Consider the following 15,627-nt stretch of genomic DNA (forward strand, 5'->3'; position numbering starts at 1 on the left):
AACATACTGTGCAAGCCTCTCAACCACTCTCAAGAACAGGAGCAAAAAATGTGGGTTGTAAGAGCAAGCCCAACTGCTGAGAATAACAGAGAATTCAGTCTTTAGAAACAGTTATCTTACAGTCATTGAAGTTTGATTCCATAAACATAAAAGCTCCCCTGCTACTATATCTTACCAGAAAGAACAGCCAAAAGTTGAATTCCTTCACAAATTATAGAAAATCTAGTGAACTAAAAACCCATAGGGAAACTGGTTACTGCATCACATGGCGTTTCTCAAATCTGAATTTTCTTCAAGAAAAAAAATGCTTAACAGGCCTAAGAATGTGTCTAAGTATCCCAGTTTCAGAAATACTGATTCATAAACTATGTCTTATTCTAAGAAAATGTCTGTCAATAGTAGGCAATTACTACTGCAAAGCTCTGGCTTTTAACTGGTAAAATATATGTATTTTGATTGTCATCTGAATGAACTCAAAACACTTAAGATTTTTTTTTTAAAGCCATAAACCCTGAGAATATATCTGAATGCAATCCTCAGACTCAAGTTTGAGAAGTGCTGCTATAGCAGAGATACCAGAAACAGTATTACTCTGGCAGGAAAACTGGTTACCAATCAGCTGTATTTCTAAGTAGCCAACAATACTTATATTAGCCCCAATGGAACTTCACTCTTTTAATACACACTACATGGTTCAGATGTATCAACATAAAAACATCACAAAAAAGCTTCATAGGATTTCAGTGTTAGTTCCCTCATCTCAAATATTAAGAATATGTCATAATCATGTATTTGCTTATATATGCTTACCTTGCTCTTTGACATAGAAAGTGAAGATTCATCTTTATTTTGAGAAATATCTTCCTTCCCTCTTTCAAAACCTTAAAAAAATAGTCAGCATATCAGTATTACTACTTTTGAACATGTATAATAAGTCATTCATTTTCAAGTATAGACTATATTTGATATAAATCAGTGCAGGAAGCCTGTACACACAGCTTTAAACTATTAAAGATCTCTAGAGGGTCATATCTAGCATAATCCTTTAGAACTAAGGCTTAGAAAAAATGAAGTATTTCCCTGAACCCACCAACATCGTGAAATATCTCTTCTTTGCTCCTGCAGAACTCTGCATAAATTCAGCGCTTATAGAGCTTTTATTCTAGTGAGCTGGTTTCCAGCAACGAATTCTAACTCACGGAACCAACTCAACATACTTTTCATACCTCTGGTCAAAATGGAAAACAATTTCAGACGAGGTGATGAAAGACTGGGGAAATAAATCTGGATTGACTTTTTAAAAATCTTATAATGTGCATATGGTGAGAATTAGATGAAGATACATACAAAGCACTTAGCATAGTGTTTTTGCACATAGCATACATTCAATTAATGTTCACCTTTATTATCATTTTCTATTCTTATTCTAAAAGGATGAATCTTAAATACAAGAGTGCAGTGAGACAAACATGCATATACTCCTGCAATCATATAACACTTTAATATAGCACTATGCATAAACCAATTAACAAATTACTATTACAAAGGTACAATTATATTGAGACTTGTGTGGCAGGTATAAAAGGAGCAGTACACATTTTAATTTTAATGAGGTTTTTCTATTTTTGAGGACAGGTACTATTAACTCTTCCCTATAATTATTTGTTCAGAGTCCAATAAAAGCCTATATTTTAAAATATGTATAATCATTCATAAAGCAGCATTTTTAAAAAAGTCAAGTAGTACCAGTGCCTAAAGTATTTTAAAAACACTTCTAGCACATCAAGGATAATACCATTGATTCTGCATTTGGTTTATTAATGTAACAGCTAAAAAAAACTGTTCCATTTTCTTAATCAGATATTTTACTGAAAATTTTATATGATATAAAAAAAGGGATCTTTTTTCCTTCTCTGGTAAGAAAAAAGATCACTCAATCTCAATACTAAAAATAAAATGTAAAAAAAATGAAACTTTCATAAATGCAACATGGAATTTTAAATGAAACTAGTTAGTGATTTGGGGTAGTGGTCTCTTCCAAGTATCCTCCCCACTCCTATAATGAGACAGAAACCTACATCCCTATTAGAATGGCTAAAATTAAAAGGACTAACACCATCCAGGTACAGGTGAAAACATAGAGCAACTGAAACTCTGTTCACTACTGGTGAGAACATAGAGTGGCATAACAACTTTGAAAAACTACTTGACTGTATCTATTAAAGTTAAATGTACATTCTACACGGAGGAATTCTAATCCTAGATATACCCAACAGAAATGAGTGTGTACATCCATCAAAAGAGAGGCACAAGAATGTTCATAGAAGCTTTATTCATAATAGCCAAAATCTGGAACCACTTCAAATGGCTATTAAGAGTAAAATTAATGAATTCATTATAGTATGGTCACACTGTGGAAAATTAGACAGCAACAAAAAAGAACAACAAATATTGAGTGAGAAGCCAACTCTCCCCATTAAAAAAAAGTACGTACCATATGATTCTATTTACAAACAATCTATGGCGTTAGAGGTTGGAACAGTAGTTTACCTTTTGGAGGAAATACTGACTCGGAGGGGTGTGAGAGAGCCTTCTGCTATGGGAAGTGATTACACGTGTCTATACGTAACTAAAAATTCAAAAGCTGCACACTTAATTACATGTAAATTATACCTCAATAAAAATAATTTTAAAACACACCCTTTCCCTACTCTTCCATTTTATTGCGTTTCTCTTGCTTTGACATCCTATGCCACCTAGTCTATATCCCTTTAACTTGTTCTGTATCTGGCTAATTCTGATTCATTTATCAGCAATAATGATATTTATACTAATTAACACAATAATATTAATAAAAGCAATAATAAAGCAACCAATACCTATTTGTGAGAACCCGAGTGTGACACACTATGCTATAGGTTTCATTTTTTTCTAATCTTTAAAACAATGCCACACACACAAAAAAATTAACCATATTTTACAGTTGAAAAAACTAAAGCTCACAGAAATTATGTTGACCAACATCAACAAGTGACTATCAGAGCTGATTTAAACTTAGGTCTACATTTAAAACTCATGCTGTTTCTACAATGCCATGGAGCCTCTCAAGACGCAAGGCCACCCCTTCAGGGAGGCCTTGTTTTGACTTTGCAGGCATAGTTAGCTGTTCCTTTCTATGACACAAACAGCACTTCACACATACTTGTACTACAGTATTTACTGCAGTATACTCCAATTATCTTTATGCTCATGTTGACCGTGAGTTCCTGAAAAGGGTCTAATCTTTGTATATTCTCTGAAACTTAAAAATTTCATAAATTAATCAAAAATTTAATAGAAAGAACTCCATTTTTACTTCCAAAGGTTTTAGAAAATGTGAAATACAGCACATCTTCAGAAAAATGCCTAAAACATAAATGTATAACAGAGAATACTTACTTAACAACCTCCCAAATCAAGAAATAGAGAATTGCTAACATTTCATAAGATTCCTCCTCAGTGCAATTCTTAATCACAATCCACCCTTTGTCTTCACAAGTAATTCGACTTGTGCAATAATTATTTACTAGCGTGTCACAGCAGGTACTTCATTCGTTTTCACTGCTGATTAGAACCCTACTGCATGACTATACCACTATTTATCCATTCCACCATTATCAGACACTTGGATTGTTCCTAATTTTCCCCTGTTGAACAATAGTGCTATGAATATTCTTGGAAATGTATCGTGGTAGACACCTCTAAGTTTCTCTAAGGTTTAAATCTAGAAGGAGGAATCCTGGGTCACAGAGCATGTGTAACTTAAACTTTATACCAAACTATGCAAAAGTTCTCTTTTCTCCATAACCGTAGTAACTTCAGTATTGAAAAACTCTTAATATTTTTGGCAGTCTGGTGGATGCACAGTAGTTTGTCAGTGAAGTTTTAGTTTGCGTGTCCCTGATTACTAATGGTGTTGAGAACTTTCTCATGTTAATTGGCTAATTTCCTCTTTGTGAAGAATGTCTTCAGACCTTTTGTACATTAAAAAAAAAATCGTCTATCTTTTCTTATTATATAAGAATTCTTGATATAGTCTAGATACTAGTCCTTTGCCAAATGTATTTGTTGTCAACATCTCCTTATTCTGTGGCTTTTTACAGGCTATGTGGTTTCTTTTGGTGAAGAGCTTTTAATTTTCATGTAGTCAAATTTAGCAATCTCTTTCTTTAAAGGTTAATGCTTTGGGGTCTTAAACTCTTCCCTAAATCTGCAGTCATAAAAATATTTTCCAATAATGTAGTTTTACTTTTTGCATCTACATCTACAATCCACCTGGAATTGACATTTGAGTACAGTGTGATATACGGGTACAATTTCACTTTCTTTGCATTTAGACACCAACTGACCTGCCACCATTTATCGAAAAGAACTTCTTTTATCCATATGTGTCAAATGTTCACAAATGTGTAGGTCTGTTTCTGCACACCCTATCTGTTCTATTCATCTAGCACTTAAAGTACAGTATTGCCTAGAAATGGTGAATGCATTCTTGTTTCTAATCTCAAAACTGTCAATATTTAACCATTAAGTACAATGTTTAATGTAGATTTTTGATATATTTTTATATGTGTATTTATATATATATTTGGATATAGATATTGATATTGGTACATATATTAATATATATATTTAAGGAACAGGGTTTATTTTTCTGGTTTTTTTTTTTTTTTTTTTTGAGACAGGGTCTTGCTCTGTTGCCTAGGCTGGAGTGCAGTGGTGTGATCTCAGCTCACTGCAGCCTCGACCTCCTGTAACAGGCAATCCTTCAACCACAGCCTCCTGAGTAGCTGAGACAAGAGACACATGTCACTAGGCCTGACTTTTTTGTTGTTGTTGTTGTTGAGATGAGGTCTCATCATGTTGCCCAGGCTGGTCTTCAAATCCTGGGCTCAAGCAATCCTCCCACCTCAACCTCCCAAAGTGCTGGAATTACAGGTATAAGCCACCATGTCCAGCTGGAACAGGTACTGATACAGATATTTAAGGAAGTTCACTCCTTCTAGTTTTCTAAGAGTTAACAAAACGAAATTTGGATTTCATCAAAACTTTTCCCACATCTATTAAGATAATCATATTATTTTTTCTGCTTTTAATCTGTTAGTGTAGTGAACCACATTTATTTCTAATGTTAAGTCAATCCTGCTTTCTTAGATTTTCATCCAACTTAGTCATAACGCATTGTCCTCTTTATAAAAAGATATTGCTACTACCATTAAGGAGTGTTGTAATCCATATTCATTACTGATTGGAAAAATTATAGGACAATCTCTTTCAGTTGAATTTCATGTCAAAGTTATACTAATACTAGTGTTCTTCTCACTCTCCACTTCCATCCTCTGAAAGCAGTTGTGCAAGACTAGAATTATTCTTTCATTTAACGGTTGGTAGAACTCGGTATCTACCTGAATCCGGAGCTTTCTAGTTTAATTTCTGTTTTTCTTTTTTTTTTCTTTCCTTTTTTTTTTTTGAGATGGAGTCTCGCTCTGTCACCCAGGCTGCTGGAGTGCAGTGGCACGATCTCGGCTCACTGCAACCTCTGCCTCCCGGGTTCAAGCGATTCTCCTGCCTCAGCCTCCTGAGTAGCTGGGATTACAGGTGCATGCCACCAGGCCCAGCTAATTTTTGTATTTTTAGTAAAGACGGGGTTTCACCATGTTGGCCAGGCCGGTCTCGAACTCCTGACCTCAAGTGATCCACCCGCCTTGGCCTCCTAAAGTCCTGAGATTACTGGCATGAGCCACCATGCCCATGCCCAGCCTCTGATTTAATTTCTTAATGGTTATTAGGACTATTCAGATATTCCGTTTCTTTTAAGAACAATTTCAGTAAACTATATTTACTAAGAATTTATTTCATTTGAACTTTTGAGTACATCAGCATACAAAAGTTCACAATATTCTCTTACATGTTTAATACATGGCTCCAACTATAGTTATATCTCTTTATTTTTGATACTGGCTAATTGTATCAGAGTTAAGGTTTTAAAAAAACACCTTTTGTCTACTGATTTGCAGTAACACTCTTTTTCATAATAAATCATACCACAGGTTTGTCTATCAGTCTTTTTCCAAGAATTTTAGGCTTTACTGAAACTCTCTAGTGTGTGTATTTTCTGTTCCATTAATTCTTAGTCTTACATTTATTATAGTCTTTTTTTCTTTTTGGAGATTTTGCTCTTATTTTTTGAACTTAAGAAAGATACTTAGCTCATTAATTTTTCTTCTCCCTTCTGTTTCTAAAATATGCACTTAAGGCTAAACATTTCCTCTTAATCACGATTTTAAAGCTATATTCCACAAATTTCGATATGTAATGCTTTCATAATTGTTCAAGTCAGTTATTTTTCCAATTCCTATTTTGATTTCTTCTTTGATCCATGAGGCATTTAGAAATATATTTTTGAATTTTAAACATAACAGAATTTTTATTGAACTTTTTGTTATAGATTTCTAACATAAAAAATAAGGTCAGATAATATGTTCTGAATAATTTTAATAATTTAAAATTTGTTGAAACTTACTTTATGGCACAGCATATGAGCAATTTTTATAAATATACCATATGTATTAGATAAGAAGGTATATTCTATAGTTGTTGGGTATAAAGTTCTATATTTGTCCATTAACACACATTTCTTAGTAGAGAAGTTCTATTTTGATATGTATTTACTGATTTTTGTCCTTTTCTCCCTCAATTACAAAGAGAAGAATATAAGTACAGATTTATCTAGTTTCCATGTTGTTCTCTATAAAATTTCCTTATATATTTTGAGGGCATATAATGTACTCATGCTTTTTGCCTCAAAATTTATTCTGTCTGGTATCAATAGATACAGGAACTTTCTTTTCAGTAGTGTTTGCATTGCTTTTTATCCCTAGTCCTTCCCTACCCCAACTTTTCTTTATTCTTTTATATGTAGATATGTCACTTGTAACAGCAGGTACTGGATTATTTTTAATACTAATCTTTAGATCATTAGTACTCAATATAATTGCTGACTTACCTAGATTTATATTTATCTTATTTTGGACTTTCTATTTGTTCCTCCCATACTCTATTGTCCTCTACTATCTTGTCTTCTATTTATTATAAACTAGTTAAGATTTAAAAACATAAATTAATCATTGTGTTTAGTGGTTACACTCAGAAATTAAAATATGTATACTTAACTTTTCAAAGTTTAAAATTAATTATTAATTTACTCTCCTTCTGGGAAATACAAAGGCCTTGGAAGAACTTATTTACCTCCCTTCCAGCTTATACACAATAACTGTCATATATTGCAAATCTCTCTCTCTTCTTAACTCCAAAAGACATTATTTGTATTGGCTTTAGAATCAGTGTGCATTAAATTTGCCCATATAGCCCTTGCTATTTGTTTATCCTTACAACTTAAGACTTTCCATCTGAAATCACTCTCCTTTTGCCTGAAGTACACCTGTAGCTTCTACTGTTTCAGTGAAGAAGTCAAACAGGTGTGAGTTTAACTGTTGTTATTCTTGTGAAGGAAATCTGGGTGTTTTCACCCTCTGTCTTTGATGGTCTGTAGTTTCACTATGATGTGTTTAGGTTTAAGTTTCTTTTTAATTTGTTTTCTTGAGAATTTGTGGTTAGTATCTTTGATCAGTTCAATTATAGCCATTATACTTAAAGACTTTTTATCCTATTTTGTCTATTTCTTTTATTTATGACCAAAAAAAGACAGCTTTTTCCCTTTTATTCTGCATGCCTCAACTTCTTTATTTTTCATCTTTTCCCTCCCTGCTGTATCCTGAATAATTCTTCTGACTTACTTTCCTCTTCACTAATTCTATCTTCATCTGTATGTCCAATGTACTACTAGTATGTACACCGAGTTTTAAATTTTGGTTATGTTTAATTTCATTTCTAAAATTTATATCCTAATATTTCACAAATCTACAGGCTATTTTAAATAATTCCATTTTGAAAGTTTGCATTTATGTTTTTAAAAACCGTAAACAGAGCTTTAAAAACATTAGTTTGTATCGGATCACTCTAATATCCAAGAAGCCTTACCAGCCTCTTTCTACTGTTTGTTGTTTCAGTTACTTCTCATTCATGTCATATTTTCTTATGTATCTGGCCATCTCTGACTTGTGTACTAATTGCTGACTTTGAAAAAATTATTTGTAATAATAATTAGAGACCTGGAATGAAAACCCTCTCTCCAGAAAATTATATGATTTTCACTACCTTTTTTTTTTTTTTTTTTTTTTGAGATGGAGTTTCATTCTTATTGCCCAGGCTGCTGTGCAATGGCACAATCTCAGCTCACCACAACCTCCGCCTCCCGGGTTCAAGCAATTAGCCTCCCGAGTAGCTGGGATTATAGGCACACACCACCACGTCCAGCTCATTTTGTATTTTTAGTAGAGATGGGGTTTCTCCATGTTGGTCAGGCTGGTCTTGAACTCTCGACTTCAGGTGATCTGCCCACCTCGGCTTCCCAATGTGCTGGGATTACAGGTGTGAGCCACTGTGCCAGGCCGATTTTCACTACTTTCTTAACAGCCTTTCTCCAAAGTATTCTGTCTCTTGTTTAACTTACATAAAGTAATAAGAGTATCTCTGGGGTACTTTATTGAAGCCAAATTCCTTCCAAATGGTCATTAAGTAGCTAAGTGAGGATTAGAAACCAGGTAGTCTTGCTCCATTTTCACTCTGCAACATACATCCAGGCTGACTTCCACATTTTCTAAGGTTATAGAACCTATAACAACAGCACATATTCAGGTCAGATGAGGTGGCTCATGCCTGTAATCTCAGCGCTTCGGGAGGCTGAAGTGGGCAGATCACTTGAAGTCAGGAGTTCGAGACCAGCCTGGCCAACATGGTGAAACCCCCATCTCTACTAAAAATACAAAAATTAGCCGGGTGTGGTAGCACATGCCTGTAATCCCAGCTACTTGGGAGGCTGAGGTGAGAGGATCACTTGAACCCCAGGAGGCGGAGGTTGCTGTGAGCCAAGATGGTGCCTCTGTGCTCCAGCCTGGGCGACAGAGTGAGACTCCATCTCAAAACAAAAACAAACAAAAAAGCAGATATTCAGAATGATTACTATTTAGATTGACAGATGGCAATCCTTTCAATCAATTAAGAAATAATAATGGATTCACCTCTTATAAATATAAATATTAGGCTGGGCATGATGGCTCATGCCTATAATCCCAGAACTTTGGGAGGCTGAGGCAGGCAGATCACTTGAGGCCAGGAATTTGAGACCAACCTGGCTAACATGGTGAAACCCTGTCTCTACTAAAAATACAAAAATTAGCTGGGCGTGGTGATACATGCCTGTAGTCTCAGCTAGTTGGGAGGTGGAAGCAGGTGAATCCCTTGAACCTAGGAGGCAGAGGCTGCAGTGCGCCGAGATCACACCACTGCACTCCAGCCTGGGAGACAGAGCGAGACTCCATCTCAAAACAAAAACAAGAACAAAAACAAAGTGCATATATATAGTATAAATATTTATAGTGTACCTACCTGTTACATAACACATTGCATTTAGGGATAAAAACATGAAAAGACATTGTTCCCTATCATTCCTTTCTTTTAAAAAGGCTACTGTCTAAAGAGAAGCCAGGTATTCAAACAAAAATTATAATACAGTAAAATAACTGCTTATAATAAAGGCAGAGGGATACCTGCGAATAAGCTATGGGGTCAGACTATCTATCAACCCTGGCGCCACCATTTACTAGCTGTATGACATTGGGCACAATACTTAACTTCCAATGGTTCAGTTTCTCCAATGGGGAAAGGCTTGAAAGTGATAAAGTACTTAAGACTGAAGCAAGACAGTGCTATAATATTCTCTTCATATAAAAAGAAAAAAACATAGTAATGAGTTTCAGAAATGTTTTTAGCCATCAAAGCAAATAAAAAAGAATTTCCTAAAGCTCAACCCCAAAACAAAAACTAATGACATTCAAACCTGGTTGAAAAAAGTCTGTCATATCTTTCTTCTAATCTTTTGGTTTTGGAAGTAGTCACAGACTCATAATAATTCCAGTGAATATAATAACTCTTCCATCAAGTAATTATATAACCATGGTAAGTTCCTTAAATTCCAGAGACTTCAGTTTCCCATCTACAGTAAATTTTACATTAGACAATCTCTAGTGTAAGTACATAGGTTTACTTTTTCCTGCTAATGCAATGGAATATTATCGCTGAATAAATTAGCATTCTGCCCTTAACCTCTAATTTGTCCACAAAATGCAAGTACTATCATCACTGATAAGGCGTTATCTTTTTGATATACCTGGTTCATTAATACTGTGATATAATAAAGCAAATTTTATGTTGCGTCAGTCTTATTAAAATGAAATTACATAAACAAATCTACAAATAAAGATTTTATAAGTATCTACAAAATAAATACAGAATTGCTACATTAACTATATTGAATACAGCCAAGAGCCAAGAAAAAAATCTGAGAAGTCAAAATATACAAAACAACTATGTACTAAAATGTACAATCTATAGATGTCTATAGATGCTTTCTTTGTTCAAAGTTTATTTACTCCAATTTGTACGTACTGTTCTAGAGATTAGTAAAACAAGCATACCTAAAAGTAACAGCTGAGATCAAGAGATAGATAATCAGATATGAACTAAATAAAACAAACACATTGCATCATGACATCACTATGGGTACAGGGGCAGGGGTGTCACATCCATGTTATAGCTAATCATAAAGAAAAAGGTTATGCTGACGTATTTATTAAGGCAGAAGTGGCTAAAAGAAAAAAATATTTTTTTCAGGAAAATTAAAATTAAAAAAGGGTTATGCTCAAAGCAGTAAGAAAAAGTTATCTTTAAATATCACTAATGAAGAACAAATCTTTCCTTCTCTAGTTTTGTCAGATAAAAGCAAATGCATCTAAAATAATTTTTTCAATACAACAATGAAGTATATCAGGAGATATTAGATGTACTTTTTACTTTTACCTTAAGTCACAACAAAAAGCCACTTCTTTGAAGTACTTAATTCCATTCTACTTCTTAGTTGATAAAAGCAGATATTTTATAGAGCTTTTTATCACAGCTGGTTGTATTAAGGAGATGATGGAATCATTCCTATGAATATGATTTTCTCTATTTCAAGAATTAGAAAACAAAGCAAACCATTTACTTTTCTATAGAAACAAATCCATCCAAGATGGCTTTTAATATTTCTTTGACAAGATAAACTGACAATTTTGCCTTTAACTGCCTAATTAAATAAGTACCAAACTTAAAAGCTAAGTTTTCTATTGTTCATCAAGGTCACATGATTATTCTGTAAAGCTAAGTGGACTTGTGGCATGAAGGTCAGCAAACAATATATACTAGCAAGCTTGTTGGCCTAAAAAATGCAAACAAAGAGACAGAAACAAATACAGAAATGAAACTCATTTTAAAATAAAAAATATCTAACATTAAAAAAATCTCAGTATTTTGTATTTGCAAAGCCACTTCTGAATGACAAACGACTAAAATTTACACCATTTAAAACATAAGAAAGACGCATGAGAGCAACCATGCTACACTAAGAAGACTTAATATGGATTGAGTGCTATTTAAAGCTTATACTACTTAGGGAGAGTTCAGGACTATGGTTTCCAATTCTTTTGTGAAACACTGTTAGAAAAGAATGAAATCAGTCAATTTATAATTTATTTAATTGCCCAGGTGAACACTTTCTATGAGGCGTTTCACTATCTCAGAAGAACACATATACCACTTATCAACATGAATATTCAGAAAGCCAAGAATAAAGGTTATTGTGAAAATAGGGAATTTAATTCAACAAAATCTAAGTGTCAGAAAAAATATATAAATACAAGTATCAGTTTCAGTCAATATTTCTTTGCCATCATTATTAAATAGTACTTTTATTTTAAAAGAAAATATAACCCTAAAAGAGTAGACATAATTATATAGTGTTTAAAAATCTGAAAGGAAAAGATTATTTAAACATATTCAAATATTTGCTACAATTTCAAACAATAAAAGATCAATTTATGTCTACATCTCATTGACCAATTGTTTAATGCCTAAATCATAGCTGTCAAATGCCTAATAAATATAACCCTAAAAATATCATAAATTTTCATGATAAAAATTAATCACACACAAATACATCTAACAACAAGAGGAAGCTAAGGTATTTCAAAAACTATACTTGAGTAGAAAGCTTCACTTTAGTCAGAATTTAAGATAAATTTAAGAATTTAAGATAAAAAGATTAAGATAATAAAGTGGTAAGATTAAAGCTTACATTAAACATCAACTTTAATATAGTTACCATTCTGCAAAAAATGAACAAATATCAATATTAATATCTGGGTTTCATTTGGTAAACCCTCAGAGCAATGTGTTTATTTATATAATTTTGTGTTTATCTCAAGTCTAGAAGGGCTTTAATTTTATCAAAGGGTCATAATATTTCTATAATTAAAGCAAAAATTTATGCCGTAAGCACTCAAGATTCCTACTTTACTGAATCATTACTTCTGAAGTTTTAACTGAAGAGGCTCTAAGAGAAAATATGGAAAAGCCAAGCTGTTTAGCAGCAGTTACTGAAACCTAAGCTTTCACTACAGAATTGTTTTATTTAAATGAAAGCGGCTTTAAAATGTTAAAATGCCTGGTTTATTTTAATTAAAAGTCTGCAAGAAATTAGGAATGCAAGATTAAACACACAAACCTGGCAATGAAGGAGAAAGTTCATTGTATCCTCCAAATGAAGCATTCCGAACAAGCTTTCGGCCATCAATCCGGGGAGGAAATAAAACAGGCAAAACCCCAGTACAGGAAGAAAATCTACGTTGTGAGCTCTCTTCTTTCATAGCTCAGAAGGTCTATTTAATGTATATGCTCACCCAAAGGCTAATTAGACCAATATGGCAAAGACAGGCTTTTCTCTCACATCCAACTGTAGCAAAACCCACCAGCACAAACAAAGAACACACACATTTAACAGCAAAGGAGAAGGACCAAAGACTGTCAAATCAGCAATAAACAGATAGAGAAAGCCTGACAGAAAAAGCATTAAACCATGCTGCTGATTTTTTAAAAAAAGGAACTGATAAACATGAAAGGCTATTCTACTAATGTTTTACCTTTTTATCAAACCACCCTGCACTGAATTGCTGCTTTAGGAAAACAAAACAAGATCAATACTTAGCAATTCAAGATGAAGCAATAAAGTCATTTTCTCTTCTCAGAAATGCAATCCTTTTATCATATCCATTATGTTTCTGTACTATCCGGCCACACTTCCCACCTCTTCCGACTCCTTCCTTCCCAGCTTTTACTTACTTCAAAGATGGATATAAACATAATGCTTTTTATCTTCCCTGAAGCTTCTAGATTTATATCTAATCTACAGCTTGCCTCAGCCATGATTAAACATTCATAAGGAAAGATACTCTTTCAAGCACAACGTTGATGGATTCCAACAGTTAAAGCAGAGAATAAACATTTAAGTTTTGCCTCCAGCAGGGATATATGAGTCATTAAGACAGTGTTAGCGCAAACCAATCAACAGAGGAGATTAAAACGACACCATAATGCTGTATGCTCTAACATGTTCCTTGAAGAAAATATGAGCTGCTACTGTTCCTCTTAATTACATTTAAACTGTTCAAAATTTAATTTGAACAGTTTCATTACATCTAAACTGTTCAGTCTATCAATGAGTCTTTCCTGCTTAAAAAAAATTTTTTTTAAAAGCAACTTTATTATCACAGTGACAAATGTACTATGTTTAAAACTAAGTGACCAGTATTGACTCCACGTCATTAAATCTAACAGGTACCATCTGTTTATACCTAATCTTTAAAATTCCAAAGAATTCTCTCCCAATTATACTAAAATCCATATACCTTACCCTACCTTAATTCAGATTTAAAAGCTCTAGTCAGATGCTCTCTATATATGCCGTAGATTGATTTTTTTGGTTATAATTCTTTCTTTCAATCTGAAAATACACCCACTCAGCTGGACAATAACCATCTAGGTTAAAATTTATTAGTGGCTCATTTTTATAGGTATCTTACCATAAGATCTCAGTATCCTTCCTTATTATGCATTCACTTCAACGCTGGTTCTCTATTCATGCACAACATCTCATATAATCTAAGACTTTGTCCTTACTAGAAAGAACACATGAAAAAGCAAAACTCAATTTCTTTTTTGTTTTTTGGGTTTTTTTTGAGATGGAGTCTCACTGTCGCCCAGGCTAGAGTGCAGTGGCAAAATCTCAGCTCGCTGCCACCTCTACCTCTCGGGTTCAAGTGATTCTCCTGCCTCAGCCTCCCAAGTAGCTGGAACTACAGGCACCTGCCACCATGCCTGGCTAATTTTTGTATTTTTAGTAGAGATGGGGTTTCGCCATGTTGGGCAGACTGGTCTCAAACTCCTGACCTCAGGTGATCCACCCACCTTGGTATCCCAAAGTGCTAGGATTGTAGGTGTGAGCCACCGCACCAGGCAAAACTCAATTTCTTGTATGTGACATATTCTTTCTTGGGCAAAGGCATTTCAAAATCAATTAATGGAGAATAAGTTTACCACTAATACCCATAACTGCAACAAGTTTGTGGGTTTTAGGGGTTGGTTTGGTTATTATTATTTTTTGCTTTTCTCCATATCATAAAATGTACATTATTATTAACTGTAGACAACAAATAATTATAATTCATGTAATGGTGCTTGCCTTTAAAGGCATAAAGAACATCACAAACAGCATTATGCTAGTATAATAGTTAAGCAGGATTTGAAATTAAACTGCATTCAAATCTCTGTTTTATCTTTCCTAGAAATACTTAAACAGTTTAATTTCTCTGAGTCTTTGTTTTCTCACGTATACAATGCTAATAGTAGTACTGATATTATAGGATTGTTATGAGGATTAAATCAGATGATACACAAAGTCTTAAAAGAGTCTAGGTTAAAATGGCAAAATGAAGATACTGAACAAATGCGTTCCCTCCTAAAACTCAAGTAAAATCAAGAAAAGGGGTATTTTAAAAAAATAAACAAATATCTATATATATCCCAAAAGTACATATCCAGGAGAGGATATATTAACAACATAAATTTGACACTGCAAAGCTCGAGATGAACAAGTAGTCATGGTCTTGCAGATCCAAGAAAGCCAAATCACAACAGCAGTAATAAAAACTGAAAGTCAACCTTATTTACACCAAATAACCCTTTTGCACATAATTCACAGCACCAAGTTCCTCTGGATCATGAATCAGATAGGCTATTTACGTCAACAACAATACTGGAAGCAGGCCAAAAAATAACCAAAATCTTCAAAATATGAAAGAAAACAAGTTTCAATTTAGAATTCCATACCCAGCCAAACTATCAATTACATATTAGAGTAAAATAAAGATATCTTTAGACATGCAAGGTCTCAAAATTTTATTTTCTATGTACCATTTAAAATAATTTACTACAGTAGCCCTTCTCAGCTGGGGTTCTGCAATAGAATTAAGCCTAATGTACTAAGGCATCCACTGTTCAAGATGAATTAAATTTATCTCCCATGCATCTATAATATTT

The 15,627-nt window shown here is 33.6% G+C and overlaps 1 protein-coding gene across 20 annotated transcripts in view; it reads right to left on the reverse strand.

The window, feature by feature from the left end:
* Positions 1-15,627, reverse strand: part of OSBPL8 (oxysterol binding protein like 8) — a 207,975-nt gene that overhangs the window by 57,957 nt on the left and 134,391 nt on the right. For 19 of the 20 annotated variants that reach the window (NM_001003712.2, NM_001319653.2, NM_020841.5 and 16 more), the window contains one exon: positions 811-881. In NM_001003712.2, coding sequence (NP_001003712.1) covers positions 811-881 — 71 coding nt within the window. Of the gene's footprint in view, positions 1-810; positions 882-12,757; positions 13,533-15,627 lie in introns of those variants that run through there. The other variant, NM_001319655.2, reaches the window with a different exon arrangement.

The sequence above is a fragment of the Homo sapiens genome, chromosome 12, assembly GCF_000001405.40.
Source record: "Homo sapiens chromosome 12, GRCh38.p14 Primary Assembly".
Taxonomy (NCBI): Eukaryota; Metazoa; Chordata; class Mammalia; order Primates; family Hominidae; genus Homo; species Homo sapiens.